At 43.7% G+C, this 20,508-nt stretch overlaps 1 protein-coding gene across 10 annotated transcripts in view, besides 1 other annotated feature; it reads left to right on the plus strand.

Annotated features, from left to right (window-relative positions):
• Positions 1-20,508, plus strand: part of TMEM132B (transmembrane protein 132B) — a 475,992-nt gene that overhangs the window by 341,104 nt on the left and 114,380 nt on the right. The window contains exon 5 of one of the 10 annotated variants that reach the window (XM_047428245.1): positions 11,295-14,050. The exons of the other annotated variants lie outside the window; for them this stretch is intronic. Within the exon in view, the coding sequence (XP_047284201.1) occupies positions 11,295-11,675 (381 nt within the window). The 3' untranslated portion in view covers positions 11,676-14,050. Of the gene's footprint in view, positions 1-11,294; positions 14,051-20,508 lie in introns of those variants that run through there. 10 annotated transcript variants of the gene reach the window in all.
• Positions 10,559-11,758: an enhancer, noted in NCBI's record as "BRD4-independent group 4 enhancer chr12:126022594-126023793 (GRCh37/hg19 assembly coordinates)". NCBI's record gives its function as "activates an origin of replication core promoter dependent on BRD2, P300/CBP, MED14 and CDK7 cofactors, and independent of BRD4, by STARR-seq in HCT116 cells {active_cell/tissue: HCT116}" and the evidence as "EXISTENCE:reporter gene assay evidence [ECO:0000049][PMID:35650434]".

Genomic DNA, 20,508 nt, shown 5'->3' on the forward strand with positions numbered 1-20,508 from the left:
AACCACCCATCCACCCATTTACCTTTCCATGCACCCATCCACCCTTCCAACCACCCATCCACCCTTCCATCCACCCATCCACCCTTCCATCCACCCGTTTACCCTTCTATCCACCCATCCACCCTTCCATCTACCCATCCACCCTTCCATCCACCCATCCACCCATTTACCCTTCCATTTACCCATTCACCCTTCCAACCACCCAGCCACCCTTCCATCCACCCATCCACCCTTCCATCCACCCATTCACCCTTCCATCCACCAATCCACCTTCCATCTACGCATCTACTTTTCCATCCACCCATCCAACCCAGCCACCCAAACGGTGAATAGCAAACATTTACTTAGCATCACTATGTGCTGGATTCATAATTTTTTAGTGAATGAAAAGAGAGAAAATGGAATGGATGAAAGTTTTGAAGTTGAAACTATTAGGCCTTGGAAACCATTTATGTCTAAGATTTCCATTTCTAGCAGAGCAGCACAGATGGTCAAAAGCTTCAAAAACCGCTTCTTGAAAAGGGTGGTCTAAGGAGAGGGATGCTGCCACCCAGGGTGACAGTGGTGCTTTCTGCATTATCTTCTACATCTGTATCGTCTTTTTGCCCCCTCTCCGTGGCTAAGAAATGCTAACAAATGTGTCTATTTCTTTTTTTTTTTCCTCTGAAGGCACAAATTTGCCTTTTTCCTTCAATGGTGTCCCTTCTTTAGGTTTTCTGCCCAATTACTGAGCTTTGAGCTTAGAGCTTTATTTCCGTGGGTGGCTTGGTGTTGAGGGCTGCAGTCCACCCTTCAACGACTGTTCTTAAAACTAAAAAGCCTGGCTCTGCACATGCAGATAAAAACCACATTATCTTTCAAAAAGATTGGAATAAAAAAATGAGCACACTTGTGAGTTTCTAGGCAACTGGGCACATGGGCTCAGCACAGGCTACAATGAGAGATCATCAGATTCCTTTTTAGTCGTATTGGCCTGAAACCTTACAACAAGGCCTGGACACAAATACTTCTTTATTCCAGACAGCGTTTGTATGCCTCTTCTGTGCCGAGCACTGTTCTGGTGAATGGCGATGAATTAGGCAGACAAGGCCTCAACTCTCATGCTGTCATGCTAGGGGAGGGGACTGATGAATGCAAGAAACATAAACAGTTGACCTTTGAACAATGCAGGCATTAGGGGCACTGACCCCTCTACAGTCAAAAATCTCAGTATAACTTTTGACTGACTGAAAACTTAACTACTAATAGACTACTGTTGACTAGAAGCCTTACTGACAACATAGTTAATCAACACATGTTTTGCATGTTATATGTGCTATATATCAGCAGTCTCCAACCATTTTTGGCACCAGGGATTGGTTTCATGGAAAACAATTTTTCCATGGACCAGGATGAGGGGATGGTTTCAGGATGATTCAGGTGTGTTACATTAATTGTGTACTTTATTTCTGTTATTATTGCTCCTTTCTTCCCCCCTCTTTCTTTCTTCCTCCCCCTCCTCCTTTCTCCTTCCTTCTTCTCCTTTCTTCCCCCTCCTTCTTCCTCCCTCCTCCTTCTTCCTTTTTCCTCCTTGTTTCTTCTTCCTTCTCCTCCTTCCTCTTCCTTCTTCTTTTGAGATAAAGCCTCACTCTGTTGCCCATTTTGGAGTGCAGTGGCACAATCACAGCTCACTGCAGCCTCAGTCTCCCAGGCTCAAGTGATCCTCCTGCCTTAGCCTCCCAAGTAGCTGGGACCACAGGCATGCCACCATGCCTGGTTAAGTTTTTACTTTTTACTTTTTAATTTTTTGTAGAGATGAGGTCTCACCATGTTGCTCAGGCTGGTCTCAAACTCCTGGGCTCAAGCAATCCTTCCACTTTAGCCTCCAAAATTGTTAGGATTGCAGGCATGAGCCACTGTGCCCGGCCTGAAACTTATTAAGTACCCAGGAGGCCTTTTATTTTCTTTGAATGATTCTGCCTGGTGGCCCCAAAGGCCAACAGGGACTTGACTCTTGCAAAGCTCTCCTTCCTGTCAAGAGAGCCTTTCTCTGCCTTCCCACCTCTGTGTGTCCTGTGCTCACTCACTTTGCTGGTCGCTGGGATTCAGACGGGGGTAGCCTCTGTCTGTGGAGTCTCCAGTGCTGAGTAGGGGTGCTTTACCCCAAGGAAGGGCCAGCAGGTGCCACATGGGCCCTTGGGGTCTGTCCCAGCTTTGGGAAGCCATAAGTAGGAGGGCATTTTAGAAAGGTTTGAAGGCTTCTGGAGCAGTCTATGTCTTGTCTTTCGTCTTTTGTTTTGTGTAAAACTTTAAAATCTAAACAGTGCTTGAATACATCTTCCTAAAACATCACAGATAAGTGCCCGTTGGCTGCTCACTAATTCCTGCTGCCTCACCCAAATGAATGATTGTGTATCATTTTATTTCTTTTAGCCAGAACGTTATCTTTCTATGTATCTACATTCTCATATATATATGGGGCCGCAGGAGTTCAAGGCTGCAGTGAGCTGTGATTGTGCCACCACACTCCAGCCTGGGCCGCAGAGCGAGACCCTGTCTGTAACAAAACCAAACAAATGTATGTGGGGCTGCAGAAAATCCTTGGTACGGCTTTATGTGTGGTTGCATTTTAAAACAAATGGCATTATGTTGAGTGTAATATTCTTTACAGTCAACAACATGCTTTGGAGCCCTTTTGTGCTAATATGAATAGAGCTTAATTATTATCTAAAAACTGTTATATTCTGCAGTAGGTTATTCCATAGTTTTTTTTTTTTTAAACCATTTCCCTATTGACGAATATTTAGGTTGCTTCCATTTCTTTTCTTTTCTCCTCTCTCTCTCTCTTTCTCTCTGTCTCTCCTCCACTCCCCGACCCCCAACTAGGATGCATCCTGTAAAGCTCCATCTGGTTTGGGGGTGGGAAGTGGGTTTTACATCATGTGCCAAATGGTCGTCTGCTGCAGCGCTATGTTAGGCAGGAAAAATGATGCCAATCAGTAAACAATGTCTGTTTTGGGTGCTATATTAGTTTTCTAGGGCTGCAGTAACAAATTACCCCAAACTAGGTGGCTTAAAACAATAGGAATTTATTTTCTCACAGCTCTGGAGGCCAGAAGTCTGAAATCAAGGTGTTAGCAGGGAGGTGCTCCCTCTGACGCCTCCAGGGAAGGAGTCTTCCCTGCCTCTTCCAGCTTCCGCTGGCTCCAGGCGTTCCTTAGCCTGTGGCCACCTTGCCCTCATCTCTCCCTTTGTCATCACATAAGCTGTGTGTGTGTGTCTGTGTCTCTGTGTCCTCCCCTTATAAGGACACCAGTCCTTGCATTGAGGGCTCACCCTAATCCAGTATGACCTCATTTAAACTAATGATGTGCAAAAATTCTATTTCCAAATGAGGTCACATCCTGAGGTTGTCAGTGAACATGAATTTTAGGGGGACACTAGCTCACTATAGGTATAAGAGGCAGGCGGGGGGCTACATGAGTGCCATTAACCACTTAGATCCGGGGCAGCCCAGTCACTGCACCTTCGCGTGTGCAGTGAGAACTGGAGTTCCAGATGATGACTCTGCCAGGCTGCTAAATCTCCAGCCATTCACTCAGCTACACAATACTCACACTCAGTCGTGTTGACTGGACTCTGCTAATCAGGACAGGACAGAACTTTTACTGTCTTTGAATGTTATTTTATTTTTTCTTTTTCTTTTCTTTTTGTTTTGTTTTTGTTTTTGTTTTTGAGACAGAGTCTTGCTCTGCCACTCAGGCTGGAGTGCAGCAGTATGTTCATAGCTCACTGCAGCCTTAACCTCCAAGGCTCAAGTGATCTTCCCACTTCAGGTTCCTGAGGAGCTGGGGCTACTGGCATATGCCACAACACCCGGCTGATTTTTATTTATTTTTTTGTAGAGACAAAGTCTCACTATGTTGCCCAGGCTGTTCTCTAACTCCTGGGCTCGAGTGATTCTCACACTTTGGCCTTCCAAAGTGCTGGGATTACAGGAGCGAGCCACTGTGCCTGGCCTGAGAATTATTTTTGTGTCACCCTGATGTCATAGCCTACCTGGAAGGTCTGTGTTTCTCCCCCTTCCCACAAAACTACAAGTTTGTCAGTATAATTACCGTTGAGGAAGACACAAAACATTTGGCAGTTGGTATCTAGAATAGACTGAAGGTTTCTGTCTCTTAGGTTCTCTAATATAACAGAATGAGCAAGGTGTTCTGCAAACAGCCATAACCTCAGTTATATACGCACCATTTCACCTGATTGATCCTACCCTCTCACAGCTGAAAGGACTAATTTTAAATTGTCAAGGAGAATGCCTGTCCACTGGGTGCACTTTACAAATGGCCACAAGTAACCGTCTTTGTCGGCTGAGCTGAAAGCCATGTGCTTTGTAAATGCCGCCGTAGCACTTGGTGCAGAGTGGGCACCCTACTTGTGGCTCTCCTGGCGCTGCAAGCCAACTACCCACACTGTTATTCCAGCACATAGTGCCAGGGAGGCCATTTAGTAAACCCCTTGCCACAGTGGCCCCATAACTGGATTTAGCTGTTATGCCGTTTCCTAACTTACATTAAAAACATAACAATATTACAGGGACTGCTCTTGGAGAGTGAACTGGAGTCAGCTCAGTGGAAAGGAAGGGAAAAGCCCATTAAGATGTTTGGTTCAGTTGACCTGCCTCTATTTGGGAAAACCTTTGCTGATGTATAATTTCTGAAGGCGAAAGGGAAAAATAGACCCAGCTAAGCAAGTTCGGGAAAGAAATGGGTGGTTGTCAGTCAGAGCAACAAAGTAGTGGAATTCCAGGGGCTTCAGCGGCAGGGATGAGACATGACAAATTTTTAAAGACTCTGTCAATATCATTAATATCTATGACCTGTCTCACAAGGATGGCTGTCATGCAGCACATCCGTCAGAAAATACTGCCCTGGAATTGTCCTGCTTGTTGGGTGAGCCCCAAATCCCCAAATTGAGAGTGATTATGCAAGGGATTTTATGGTCCTATTTTACAACCCCTTAAAGGTAGTAAAATAATCAGGAAGCTGTATTTTTTTTTTTTTCGAGACAGAGTCTCACTCTGTTGCCCAGGCTGGAGTGCAGTGGTGCGATCTTGGCTCACCACAACCTCCGCCTCCTGAATTCAAGCAATTCTTCTGCCCCAGCCTCTTGAGTAGCTGGGATTATAGGTGTGCGCCACCATGCCCAGCTAATTTTTGTATTTTTAGTAGAGACGGGGTTTCACCATGTTGGCCAGGCTGGTCTTGAACTCCTGACCTCAGGTGATCTGCCCCCCTCGGCCTCCCAAAGTGCTGGGATTACAGGCGTGAACCACCACACCCGGCCTTAGGAACCTGTGTTCTGAGACAATAATTTTCTTTTAAAAAAACAAGTCACTGTTGACAGCGAACTAGATTATGTATCACAGTTTGGGGGTTGTGAATATGCAGGCTGTCTCTGAGCACTTTGATGTTGGGTTGCCCGCTGCAAGCCTGATATTTATGTTTGGTAAACCAGAGTTCTTGCTAGCGAGTCACTTTGCCAGCCTCTGTACTGATCAGGAAAGGGCCCCTTCTCCACAGCTGGGGAGATGTGAGATGCATGTGCTTAAGAAAATCAAGCTGCTGTCGTTCAATTCCAGCCTGGCTTAAAGCTGTGTGACCTTCAACACAGTCCCCCTTACCTATCCTGTAAAAAGTGTAATATAATTCCTACCAGAAGCCAGAATAACCTTGTTATCATGAGGATGAAGTGAAGCAGTATTTGCACACTGCTTGTCACATAATACATGTATGATAAATGTTAAGAGTTTGTTTCTTATTTTTGTTTGAAGGTGAAATACTTAAGATAGTGATGAAATTCAACATATTTAATAGCAGGGTGGTGTGGCCACTGGCCAATCGGAATAGATGCACCTTGTAAATAATTATTACAGCCTCTCCCCTTCCCAGGGCCCTCCAGCTGCACATCAGCCCCGCCTGAGACAAACAGCGAGGGAATGTTCCTAAACGCTTGTTTTCCCTTTGCATAGCTGATTGCAGAGCCCAGCAAGTCTTTCTCTAAATGGCTTTACTTTGACAAGGGGTCGCGATGGCATTTTGATTGGCATCCGCCTCTCCTCCGGGGAAGGACCTCGTGGGCGATGGTCCTGGCGCACCCGCTAGATGGCGCCGCAGACCGGCTTGTACAGGCCGCGCGCCCTCCCCTCCCCGGCGGAGGCTCCTGGAGCCCCTGCCCGGCCTGACTGGCTGCGTCCTCAGGCCCTGCGATTTCCAGGGATTCCCGATTTCCCTGAGTGTGAGCAAATAAAGGCTCCTTCCTGCAGCCCGAGCCAGCGCTCAGCGCAGCCCGTGACCCCTGGCACCTGACAACCTGCTTCAGCCAAAATCTTAATAGGCTTTATTATTTTTATTTAAGATGATGCATGCTCATTATAACATTTTTAAACAATATATGGAAAAATCAGAATCTCAGCACCCCCGATAGAGCCAGCAGTAATACTGGAAAATTATTGTTCCATGTATGGAGTCAAAGTCCACGTATGGGCAGAGAGATGACTGTGGCTGGACACGCAAGTGGCCGGCGAACTTCATACTTCACGAAAATGGGAGCATATTCTGTGTGCTGGGTTTTTTCTTTATTAAGGGCTAGGTCCTTCCTTTTACTTACATTTAAGAGAAGACAAATAATCTAATATGAAGTTTCTGAACTTCAAAAAACCATTAATCACTACAAGGAATACTGGTTTTTTAAAAATCACCTTGCTGGCTGGGCACAGTGGCTCACGCCTGTAATCCTAACACTTTGGGAGGCTGAGGCAGGAGGACTGCTTGAGCGCAGGAATTTGAGACCAGCCTGGGAAACATAGTGAGACTCCTATCTCTACAAACATTTAAAAATTGGCCATACATGGTGACACATGCCTGTAATCCCAGCTACTCGAGAGGCTGAGGTGGGAGGATTGCTTGCACCCAGGAGGTCGAGGCTGCAGTGAGCCATTATCATGCCATTGCACTCCAGCTTGGGTGACAAAGCAAGAACCTGTCTCAGATTTTCCACCCCACAACCAAAACCAAACCAAACCCAGACAACAATAGCAACAACAAAACAGTAAACAAAAATCATCTTACTATGATTAAAGGGAAAAGGTTTATGGTAAAAACAAGTCAGTGATTAGAGTCATTATTTTTATTATTACTATTACTACCATCACTACTACCATTACAGTTACATCCACTTTATTTTTATTATTACTATTACTACCATCACTACTACCATTATAGTTACATCCGCTCTTTCAGATGCCACAATTTAATTTTAGTTTAGAACCTGAAGCTATCCAATATGGTAGCCATTAGCTTCATGTGGCTATTAAAATTAATATTAAATAAAATTAAAAATTCAGTTTCTCAATTGCACATGCCACATTTCAAGTGCTCAGTGTCCACATGGAGCTAGTGGTTACCACATCTGGCAGCACAGATATAGAATCTTCTAGCAGTGAGGAAAGATCTGTTGGACAGCGCTGCTATTGATTAATTCTCTTCCCTGACAGATGAATAAACAGCACCATGAGACTTCTGCCTAGGTATTTATTAATTGTTTATAACCTATATATCTAATAGATGTATTTACACCAAGTTTTATCACATTTATATTTGCTCGTAGAATCCAATGCTTCTACTTAATATTAATTTGTTGTTCATATTCTATAACAGGCATCCCTACTCACTTCATCAGTTACCGCCATTGTTCCAGAAAAGACTGATCTCTTTTGTCACTGATGGCCCCTTTGTGTTGAGAATTTTTGACTTTTTCATTCTGTTAGTCTCACTTTAATGAGATCCTGAGCGGGGGAAAAGATGAATCAAGTTTCCAGCCCACTGTGTTTAACTGGGAGTCCCACAGGGCTTGGTAACCTGTGAAATGCTGCTGAGATTTAAAGGGTTGTTTGCCAGTCATTCCTCCCATACCTTGACCAAGGGCCTGTGTGCCAGCACCTGATGAAGGAGGCTCAGTTCTTGCCATCGGGGATTTCAGGAAAGCTTTTTTGCCAGGAACACAATTCTCCTACTTTTTTGTGAAATTTTTTTAATGAAGGAGGAAAGATTCTCTGCCACGATTAAAGACCAAGCTGAACTCCTGGGATGAAGGTATTGTGTCTTTCTATAATTAGACTCAGCTGAAGAAGCTGCTGGATTCTTTTCTGAGACAGACAAGGCAAGAGAGTATTTAGAAAAGACCAAGAGAGGGGTTGGGGCAGACTTGCCCACCTTTGCATTTTCTCCAGAACCACCTTTGATTCTGGAAAATGTCCACTTTGCACAGGTGATGGTTGTAAGGTCCCACACTCTTTGCAGGAGAGGGGAGCTTGCAGATAGAGTAAATTTCTACCTGTCCAGGCAGCAAGAAACCAAAGGCGGCTGAACACAGTCTACTTTCCTTGGGGGACTATGCCTCTACTCTGTGATTTTACAACCACATCAGACTTCTGTGACTGTGTCTTGTGGGCTGTTAAGAATTCCCCCATGAAAAGCAGCCACAACAAGCCAGGATTGCTTCTGCAGGGAGGTGGGTTGCATCTGGGCATGGTGGAGCTGCCCCTGTTTTCCACATGCCATGTATCAGCTGGCCCCAACCTTGCTGTTCCTCTGACCTTTAAGAATGAAGGACAGGGTGTCAGGTCTTTGCTCTGCAAGGTGTGGCTGAATCCGCACATAGTTTCCTTGCAAGGTGGTGACAGACTGCTGCACAGAGTTGGTTGCATGTCAGAGTTAAACAGAGGCTGCTGTCCTTAAGAGGCGCCATCTCCCAGGGACGATGCCATCCATCTGAATTTCCCAAATGTAAAGCATCAGGAAGCTTCAGTAGGAAGCAGCACTGGCTGGCAGATTCTGTTGGCTCCAGGGGTGATCATTCGGTTTTTTGTACCATAAACCTCCTGGGGGGCCACAGAGTCTGCTGGCAGATAGCTAGGACTCAAATCCAGCACTTCCATGAACTCACTCGCCAACACTGCACCATCCACTCAATTCAGGTGCATCTCATCTGTAATATGGAGTCAATGATGGTGCCCACCTCACACACTGGTTGTGAGGATTAAACAAGTTAATATAAGTAAGTGCTTAAAACATTGCCTGGCACATGGTAGATATTCAGTGGATGTTGTTTATTCATCATTATCTAAAGACACCTTCTTTACCAGATGGATCATTTGAAAATAACCAAATCACGCTGTGGGCAAAACCTTATATCCATTGTGGTAGGGAGAATAGTGGCCCTCCAAAGATGCCCACATGTGAATTCCTAGAACCTGTGGATATGTTTCCTCACATGGCAAATAGGGCTTTGCAGCTGTCATTAGGTTAAGGATGTGAATCTGGGGAGATTATCCTGAAAAAAAAATACCAGTAAATAAATATGCATGCCATACCTTTAAAACCAAGCTAAGAGATATGATATTATCAATACGAGCCTTACTGTTTACTCTTTTTGAGATCTTTTTTTACTCTTTTTGGGATTTTTTAAAAAAAATCAGAGTGTATCTGATTTGGATGGAAACATTGTTGATTATCTAATTAATGGGATATATGTCCAGCTGTCCCTGGTATCCTTGAGGGATTGATCCCAGGACACCACCATGATACCAAAATCTGTGCACACTCAAGTCCCAAAGTAGACCCTGGGGAACCCACATATACAAAGAGTCGGCCTTCCTCATACACGGGCTTTGCATCCCACAAATCCATGTATAAGTGGAACTGCACAGTCCAAACCCATGTTGTTCAAGGGTATTGCCTTTCAAAAACTGTTTAAGCATTAAAAACATTTCCCATAAAACACTGCAATAGGATAAATTTCCAAAAGCAAAACGAACCAACACACAAAACACAAATGCTTTCGAAGACTCCAGACAGCAGAAAGACTCATTAAAGCCACCTGCTGGCACCTCTTCTGGCTACTTCTACTGTTCCTGGGGCCTTCCTGGGAACTTTGGCTGCCTTGTTGTTGGTCTGTGGCCTTCTAAGTCACCTGGGGCGGACATCCATTCTTGACAATGGCTGCAGTGAGGGGCATCACTGGGAGAGGAAGGAGGACGTGTGTTCGAGAGATATTGATTGATGCCATCCCTGGCTGTTTCCACATGACAAAGGCAGAAGGGAGCAGAGGTAGAAGCTGAGTCAGCTTCTTCCTGGATGGGGACGTCAGGTCCTGTTCTTGTCTTGGCCAGGCTGAGCAGGGAAATCTAGGAGGTGGCATATCAGGGACCACAGATGGCAAAGCTCCTCTAAAGCACAGAGTTAGGAACATTGGGTCCTAGAGCCAGGCCAACCTGGCTTCAAATATCTGCTTTGCCACTTATTGGCTGTGGGACCTGGGGCAAGTCCCTGGATGTCTCTGAGCCTCAGTGTCCCCACTTGCAACATGGGGATAACAGCACCTCCCCAGAGGCCACTTGACTCCAGAGTCCACACACTCATCCACCACCCCGAAACTCTGCAGATCTCCACACTGTGCCCATCCCCAGCCAGGCCTGCTTCCCCCACATGCACGCTCGGCTCCTATTGGCGTCAGCATTGCCATCCCCATCTCAAGTCTCCATCCGCTGTGCTTCGGCAGCTGAAAGCTCACAGAGTGCATCTGATTTGGATGGAAACATTGTCGATCATCTAATTAAGGTCACACTCTCAGGGAAACTGAGGTATGGGGTGACTCTTCCCAGGTTATTTATATTGTTCTTACCCTGGTTTGGAGAGAGTTTATTTATGATATCCAGCTAGGCAGGGCTGAACTGACCTAAGAATTCACATCTCCCAAGTCTCAGCTTTCTGTGGTGAGGAACAACTGTGTGAAGAATTAGGGTCAGGGTTAGGGTGCAGATAACTCTGGTCTCTGTTGGGCGGCCATCACCAATTTTAGGGATAGTGCTGTTGGCTGTCACATCTCACACAAGACACACAGACCTTCCTCAGTGGCACTCTAGCAAGCACATCTCAAGTGATCAGCTGTTAGACAGTCACTTGGCCAGGGACCACTTGCATTTTCAGCAGGAATTCATTCTTGTTCTGTTGCCAATCAATGAAACTTTCTATTCCTCATCCGTGGGCTGAATGCTTAATGATTCTGATGTGAGTCCAAGTTCAAAGGGCATCATTTGTAACTCTGAGAACAAGCCTCTTATTCAGTGGAATTCCTGTTAATTAACTCTGCCAGAGGCATTCGTTTTTGAAAACCTGATTTGTAAAGGGTTTACTAAGATTTTGGTAATTCCAGGGTTCAGGAGGTTCTTCAAGTCCCATTCTTTGTGTTGACAGAATCTTCCGCCAGTCTTTCCTGTATCAGCAAATGGCACCATCATCACCCTGCTGCTCGGAATAAAAATAGAGGAGTTACCCCGGATGCCTCTCCATTTTCAAGCATCATATTCAGCCCATCAGCAAGTCCTAGGATCTGTAATCTCCAAAATATACCCAGAGTTCAACCATTCACTCCGTCTCCACTGCCAGCACCCGAGCCCAGCCACCACCATCTCCTGCCAGACCGCCTGTCCTGGCCTCCTGCCTGGTCTCCCTGTTCCACTCCCGTGTCATTGTCATCTATTCTCCACACCACAGCCAGGCCCTCTATTTAATTCATTAAACAGATTGTATGAGTCCCCTGATGAAAATCTCTGTTGGCTTCCCATTGCATTGTGAATGACGCCATGACACACACATTCTTAAGTGGCCGAAAGAGGTCTGTGTGCCTTCTCTTGCCCACCCTCTTCCCTCACTTCTCATCCCTTTCCTATACTTTCTGGCCATGCTGGCCTCCTTTCTTTTCTGGAATGGGCCAATCTTGTTCTCACTGCAAGGCCTTGGAACACGTCCTTCTCTCTGACAGGCTCTCTCTGACCCCAAGAGCAGCTCCATCTTCTCCCCGCCCAGGTCTTAGGTCAGATGTGTTCCCCTCGATGAGGTAATGGTGCTGTCTCTCAGTGACCCGTTGTGACACCCATCTGGTTTCTTTCCTTCGCAGAATGAGCACTCTCCAAAATCCTCTGGTTACACATGTGTTTGGCAACTTATTAGCTCTCTCTTCCTGGGAATGTAAGCTCCGTGAGGGCAGGCCCTTGTTCATCTTCACAATTCTTTGATGAATGGTTGGCTGTCATTTTGAGTGAACTTTGACATGCAGTCATTCATAATATTCCCCTATTATGCTTTTGATATGTCTAGACTCTCTAGTGATGTCACCCTTCTTATTCTGGCATTGATTCTTTGTCTTCTTTCTTTTGTTCCTGATCAGTCTGGCTAGAGTTTTATCAATTTTAATAATGATCTCAAATAATCAACTTTTGATTTCATAGATTTTGCATTATATTTTCATATTTCATTGGCTTTTGCTGTCATATTTGTGATTTCTTTTTGTCTGCTTACTTTGGTTTTAATTTTCTCTTTTTTAATATATTAAGGTGAAAGCAGTCACTGATGTAGACCTTTCTTTTCTCCCCTATAGACATTTAGTGCTATAAATTTTCCCCTAAGTTCTCATAAGTTGTATTTTCATTTTTCATTCAGTTCACAATATTCTCTAATTTTGCTTTTGATTTTTTTCTTTGGTCCATAGGTTTTAGAAATGTGTTACAGATTTTCCAATGTTTGGGGGCATTTTCCAGATATCTTTCTATTACTGATTTCTAACTTTTATCCCACTGTGGCTGATAACATACTTTATATGACTTAATTCCTTTTATATTTATTAAGACTAGCTTTATGGTGTAGAGATAATTTCTCTTGATAAATGCTCTGTGCACACTGAGAAATGTATTCTGCTGTTGTTGAGTGGATTATTCTATAAATGTCAGTTGGTCAAGGTGGTTGATTGTTTTGTTCAAGTCTGCTAAGTCCTTGCTGATTCTTTTCCCACTTTTTGATATCAATTATTGAGAGGGGGTTTTGACATATCCTACTATTGTTGGAGATTTGTCTGTTTTTTGTTGTAGTTCTATCAGATTTTGCTCTATCCATTTTGAAGCTCTGTTATTAGATATATAAAATTTAAGATGGTTATATTACATTGATTAATTGAACCTTCTATCACTATGAGACTAACTTCTTTGTCCATGGTAATATTATGTGCTATAGAATCTACTTTATCTGATACTGTTATAGCCACTGTGGCTATCCAGTCCCTAATCCAGACTTTTCAGGACCTCTACAGTGACTACTCAAGTCCACCAGCATCTCTTGCCTGGTTTGTGGTGTAATCTCTCCTAGTTCTACCCTGGCTCATTACAGTCTGCTCTCCACGCAGCAGCCAGACCTATCATGTCTGACCTCTGATCCATTGTTCCACTGTCATCTTCTCTCACTTAGAAAAACGTCTGAAATCCTTATCATGACCTAGTAGAGCTCACCAGATCTGGCCCCTGGCCACCTTTCTGACTTCACCTCCTAATCACTCTCTGTTTCCTTGGTATCTCCCCTCCAGCCATATTGGCCTTGTTGCTGTTTCTCAGATGTGCCATACATGGTCTTGCTTTAGGGCCTTTGTACTTCCTGTTCCCTCTGCCTGGCCTTCTCTTCCTCCAGATGTCTACAAGACTCATGCTTTCAGTTCAATCTGGTTTCTGCTCAAATATCACCTGGTAAGAGCGGCCTTCCCTGATCACCCTGGAGAGAACGACCAACTCCTTTTATGCTGCTTCAGTTTTCTTGCTTTGTTTTTCTTCATAATAATCATTGTCACGACACATTTTGCTATATCTTTCGCACCTGGAACAGCAGCTGACACATATAGAGAGTCCTCAACAAATATTTGTTATTGAGCAGGAAACTTGAGTTTCAGAAGGAGCCAGGCAGCCTCTTATGCGGGAGCTAGGGCTTGACCCTGGCACCCCTGATTCTGTCTGTCCTGACACTGTCTCTTCTGATACAGCCTCTTGGGGTTTTGCATCACTGGACAGATGTTCACTAAAACAGCCTTCTCTCTCATGTATTTCTTGGCACACAGGATGTGACTGCATGGGCCTTGAAAAGTGAGAGGTTGGAGTGTCAAATAAATATGGAAGAAATTTAATTAAATAAAGGTAGGTAGATTTCATTACCACAGGACTTCTTAAGAGCCTTTAATATGCCAAAGTGCTTTATAAATCTCACCCTAAAAGGTGAGAGTGTTCAGCATTCCTCAGCTTCCATAGTGCTATCCTGCCTAAATGACTTCCTCAAATCAAGGGAGGAGACATAGACAGATGCAACCCTGTGAGTCCACCGAGACCTGGTGTTTTAAAGAAGTGAACGCCTTCACGCCTGTAATCCCAGCACTTTGGGAGGCCGAGGCTGATGGATCACGAGGTCAGGAGATCGAGACCATCCTGGCTAACACGGTGAAACCCCGTCTCTACTAAAAAAAAATATATAAAAAATTAGCCGGGCGTGGTGGCGGGCACCTGTAGTCCCAGCTACTTGGGAGGCTGAGGCAGGAGAATGGCGTGAACCCGGTAGGCGGAGCTTGCAGTGAGCTGAGATCGCACCACTACACTTCAGCCTGGGCGACAGAGCAAAACCCCCGTCTCAAAAAAAAAAAAAAAAAAAAAAAAAAAGAAGTGAACACCTGCTTCCTCAAAGTGGACCTCACCAAAGGTGGTGCAAAGCCACTCTGGGAAGCATAAAATCATGTATGAGTTAGAAAAGTTAGCATGAATTTGATTTGCTCTTTGACCTGTACATTAATGCGTACCTCTAACCCAGAGAGAAAACAGCTTGCGTCCATGTTGCTGCTCAACAATGTCTTTCTTCAAGAGTCTGCTAGGGTAGAGGTCAGGATTGTTGGAGGAAAATAATGTCTTTAGATGGTAGATTTGTTTTTTCCTGAAGTTTTTACTGTGGTAAAATATCACAAAACTTACTATCGTCACCATTTTCAAGTGTACAGTTCAGTGTTATTAAATATATTCATACTGTTATGCAGCCATCACTACCATCCATCTCCAGGACTGTTTTCATCTTACAAAACTCAAACTGTGTACCCATTCAACACTAACTCCCTATTCCTCTTTCCTTTCAGTCCCAGGCACCCACCATGGTGCTTTCTGCCTCTGTGATTTTCCTCATGTAGGTAGATTCATAGAGTATTTATTATTTTGTGGCTGGCTTACTTTGCATAGCATGTTGTCCTCAAGGCTCATCCATGTAGCATGTGTCAGAATTTCCTTCCTTTTGAAGATTGAATACTATTCCATTATATGTGAGTAGACCACATCTTGCTTATCCATTCATTCATCTGTTGATGGACACTTGGGTTGCTGCCATGTTATAGCTTCTATGAATAACACTGCTGTGAACATGGGTGTTCAAATATCTCTTCGAAGCCTTGCTTTCTGTTCTTTTGAGTATATTGGAGAGCAGGCTTTTAATTATTTTGGTATCTTATTATACAGGGTGCTAGACGAGCGTCAGCAATGTGGCAGCTGTTGGACTGTGTGATGGCCTCCATTCTGATGATGCTGTTTGCTTTCTCAGGAAATGAGAAATGCATATTTCAGATCTAGGAAGGTGATCCCAGAATATGACCCTTATTCAGTCACTTATTTCAGTTGCATGTAACAGAAAGTCTAACAGTCCAGGGATACTTGGGGTTTTAGAAACAGCTGAATCCAGGGACCCATATATGTCTTTATTCATTTCTAGGCTCTACTTTTCTCAGAAGTCCAGACAGTCTCTGTCAATGTGGTGACCCCTATCATACTTATAGCTTAAAAATTCAGTTATATGATAATGCAGTCATCCCTCCCTATCTCCAGGTTCTGCATTTGTGGATTCAACCAACCATGAATGGAAAATATTAGAAAACTTAACAATAAAAAATAATACAACCATAAACAACAATACAACAATAAACAATACAAATTTAAAAAACCAATGTTGTCTAACAACTATTTACATAAAATTTACATCGTTTTAGGTCTTATAAGTAGTCTAGAGATTATTTAAACTACACAGCAGGATATGAATAGGTATATGCAAATACTGTATCATTTTATATAAGAGATTTGAGCTTCCTTCAAGTTCTGGATCCTGGAGCCAATCTTATGCAGATACCTAGGGATGACTGTAGTGCTTTTTAAATACCTTCTGCATATGGGTAGCCAGTTCTCCCAGCACCATTTATTAAATAGGGAATCCTTTTCCGTTGCTTGTTTTTGTCTCACACCAGTTAGAATGGCGATTATTAAGAAGATTATAAACATCAGATGCTGGCGAGGTTGCGGAGAAATAGGAAAGCTTTTACACTGTTTGTGGGAATGTCAATTAGTTCAACCATTGTAGAAGACAGTGTGGTGATTTCTCAAAGGTTAGAACCAGAAATACCATTTGATCCAGCAATCCCATTACTGGGTATATACCCAAAGGAATATAAATCATTCTATTATAAAGATACATGCATGCTTATGTTCACTGCAGCACTATTTGCAATAGCAAAGACATGGAATCAACCCAAATGCCCATCAATGATAGACTGGATTAAAAAAACTGTGTACATATAACACCATGGAATACTATACAGCCATAAAAAGGAACAAGATCATGTTCCTTGCAGGGACATGGATGAAGCTGGAAGCTATTATCCTCGGCAAACTAACACAGAAACAGAAAACCAAACACTGCATGTTCTCACTCATAGGTGGGAGTTGAACAGTGAGAACACATGGAGGGGAACAACAGACACTGGGCCCTGTTGCAGGAGGGTGGTGGGTAGGGAGAGCATCAGGAAAAATACCTAATGCATGCCAGGCTTAAGGTGATGGGTTGATAGGTGCAACAAACCACCATGACACACATTTACCTATGTAACAAACCTGCACATCCTGCCCATGTACCCCGGAACTTAAAAAAAACTTGCAAGTATAGTCACAGATTTAAATTTCATATTTTAACTTGGAATAATCACTGCGTCCAGGGAGATGAAAGAGGTTTATTAGGTGGCCTGGGTCTGGCTCTTCATCCATGGAACTGTGGGATGGGTTCAGCTCCCAACTCTCCATGTACCACATTCACTTAGGGTCTAGAAAAGGAGGCTTCCTCCAAGAGATACTAATGAAGGTGCTGATATCAGTAGAAGGGAAAATGGGTAAAGAGTAGACCTCAAAAAACAGATGTTCATGATAAGCTCCCAATTCTCTGTATTTCAGACTTTATTCCACTCATCTCTATGCCATTTTCTACACCTGTCCCGCAGTCAATGCAAGATGGCAAGAAGCCATATAGGATCAGAGTAAAGTGAGCGAAGGGGAGAGTGGTAGGGCTGAGGTCAGAGGAGCAGTGGGTATAGGGTGTGGGCAGATTATGCAGGGCCAAAAAAGTGACCCTGAATGAATGGATGACTTTGCAGACATCTTGGCGTTGCTGTGAATGTGAAATAATATAGTAAGTGTTGAATATCTAGCAGTATTCTTGTATTTCCAGAAAACAATAGTAATCAAGCCATGACACTGGGTGAACAGAACCTATTGTTTAATTGATTACTCCTATGGGTCAAATGGCTGTGTGATTCAGAGAATATAAACTGTAGGCTTGTTTCATGGGGGAGAGAGAGATTACCCAATACTGAGTAAGCGTGACCTCCAGGTCTGTGGGGGAAACCATAATCACAAGGGGAGGAGGCTCAATGTTAGTGGAAATCAAGTGACCCCAGGCTGCTGAACTGGGTCAAGGACTACACAAGCGGCTTGCTCTCCAAGGTTAATGTTTGTATAAATGAAGTGAGTCAGAGACTGCTGAATGTTGTGCTTGCTGCCTGTAAATTAGTTAAGAAGTGCCTTATAGGAACTCTTTGTAGTTTGTGGCTGCGATAAACCTTTCTGGTATTCTGTACAGTAGGAAGGGCCACACAAACCATAGATCATTTAGGATACATCCTTAGAATAGGGCAGGTGGTCACAAAGGCTCAGATTGCTCTTCATTTCCCAACCGGAACACACCAGTGTGGATGTCCACTGTCTCCTGCTCAAGATGAATTCTGTCTTCTTCTGGTCATGGCACCATGATATTCCTTTGGGGAAATGCCTTTCCCTGCCACACAGACACGAGATTTGGTGCTGACACCGTCCTGTTTTAGCCGACCAGCATATTGCATCTCCCTGGCCACTGTGTGTCACTGTGTACAGTGTGACTGTGATTAAGACGGTTCAACGATAATCAGTCCTTGGTCCTTTGCTAGAACGTTTGAAGGAGCTTCCAGCTGCCATCTTGCCACCATGAAGGGAGAGGCTGCCTAGGAGTGAAATCCTCAAAAATGAAGAAGAGACAAGAGATAATGAGAACAGATTCCTGGTGGGTTCTTTGAATCCCTGGATCCAGTCATACCCAAGCTACATTTGGAATTTTCACTTGCAGGAGTCCATGGGTGACTTTTTTGATTAAGCCAATAAATGTAAGTTTCCTTCACTTGCAGTTCAAAGAGTTCTGGCTTCTAAAGCCTTCAGGAGATTGGGAAAAGGGCATATATTTTTGGTAGAAGCTTTTGTAAGGCATAACTTATATATAATACAATTAATCCTTCTTAAGTATATCATTCAGGGAATTTTAGCAAATGAATGCAATTGTGTAATCACCACTAAAATAAAGAAACAGAACATACCCATCACCTCCCAAGTTCCCACATATATATAATGTATACATCTTTTGCAATAAATTTCCATCCCCAATCCCAGCTCCAGGCAAGTATTGTCTTTCTTTTCTTTTTTTTTTTGAGACAGAGTCTTGCTCTGTCACCCAGGCTGGAGTACAGTGGCACGATCTCAGCTCACTGCAAGCTCCGCATCCTGGGTTCATGCCATTCTCCTGCCTTAGCCTCCCAAGTAGCTGGGACTACAGGCACCCGCCACCACGCCCGGCTAATTTTTTGTATTTTTAGTAGAGACGGGGTTTCACCATGTTAGCTAGGATGATCTCCATCTCCTCACCTAGTGATCCACCTGTCTTGGCCTCCCAAAGTGCTGGGATTACAGGCATGAGCCACCACGACCGGCTGCAAGTATTGTCTTTCTGATGCTATTGTTTTGCCTTTTCTAGAACTTTATATAAATGGAATCATATTGTATGTAATTTTTGGTCTGGCTTCTTTCACTTAACGATGCTTTTGAAATTCACTTATGTTTTTGTGTGTATCAGTAATTTGTTCCTCTTTATGGATGAGTAGTATTCCATTGTATGGATATATGAATTTATTCACTAGTTGAAGGACATTTGGGTTGCTTCCAGTTTTTATTACTAAAGCCATATTAAGATTTCTATAGAGATTCTGAGAATGTAAGTTTTTATTTCTCTTGGGTATATACCTAGGAGTGGAATTGATGGGTACTGTATTAATCTGTTCTCACACTGCTATGAAGAAATACCCAAGACTGGGTAATTTATAAAGGAAAGAGGCTTAATTGACTCACAGTTCTGCATGGCTGGGGAAGCCTCAGGAAACTTAACAATCATGTTGGAAGGCACCTCTTCACAGGGCAGCAGGGGAGAGAATGAGTGCCCAATAAAGGGGGAAGCCCCTTATGAAACCATCAGATCTCGTGAGAACTAATTCACTATCATGAGAACAGGACGGGGGAAACTGCCCCCATGATTCAATGACCTCTACCTGGTCCCTCCCATGACACTTGGGGATTATGGGAACTACAATTCTAGATGAGATTTGGGTGAGGACACAGCCAAACCATATCAGGTACTATGGTAAACATATGCTTAATTTTGTAAGAAACTGCCCAACTTTCCCAGAGTAGCTGCACCATTTCCCATTCCCACAGCAATCTATGAGAGTTCCAGGTGCTATACATCTTTGTCAGCACATGATATTGTCATTGTTTTTAATTTTAGCCATTTTTTTGTGGCTGCATAAAAGTAATCTTGTGATTTTAATTTGTATTTCTCTGATGACTGAGTATGTTAAATGTCTTTTCATGTGCTTTTGGGCTATTTGTGTGTTGTCTTTTTTAATATGTCTGTTCAGATCTTTTGCTCGTTATTTTCATAGGTTGTTCTGAAAACTGAGCTTTGTCGATAATATATTGTAGATATTTTGGAATCTGTTTTGTTCCTCTGAGGATTTTTGTCTTTTGTTGTTGTTGTTGTTCTGGTAGGTAGTTAACTTGTCTAGACTTAAACCGCAACATTTGCCTCCCTGGTTTTGCTGCTTTTTAAGCCTGGCTCTTTGCAGGTTTCCCTTGATCCTGAGTAGCTTAGTGAGGAACTGAAGCCCCAAAGGGCCTTCTCCAGGGTTACTCAGTACAAGGCAGGATGGATTCAGCTCAGGAATTCTCATCCCCAGGCCAGTGGTCCCTGGCTCCAGGTGCCCAGCAGTGTTTCTGGACCCTGATGTCCAGGAATGCCAAGAAACAGCCAACTCTGTGATCTGTCTGCCTGCTGCCCCATGTGCAGCCCCGAGTTAGCACATGGCCAAGAAGCAATATTTAAAGGAAACTGAGCTATGCTTTCCTGCTGCTTTTGAGATTCCTTTTTATCTGATATTATCTGGATGATTCCTGGT

Source organism: Homo sapiens, chromosome 12 (assembly GCF_000001405.40).
Source record: "Homo sapiens chromosome 12, GRCh38.p14 Primary Assembly".
Taxonomy (NCBI): Eukaryota; Metazoa; Chordata; class Mammalia; order Primates; family Hominidae; genus Homo; species Homo sapiens.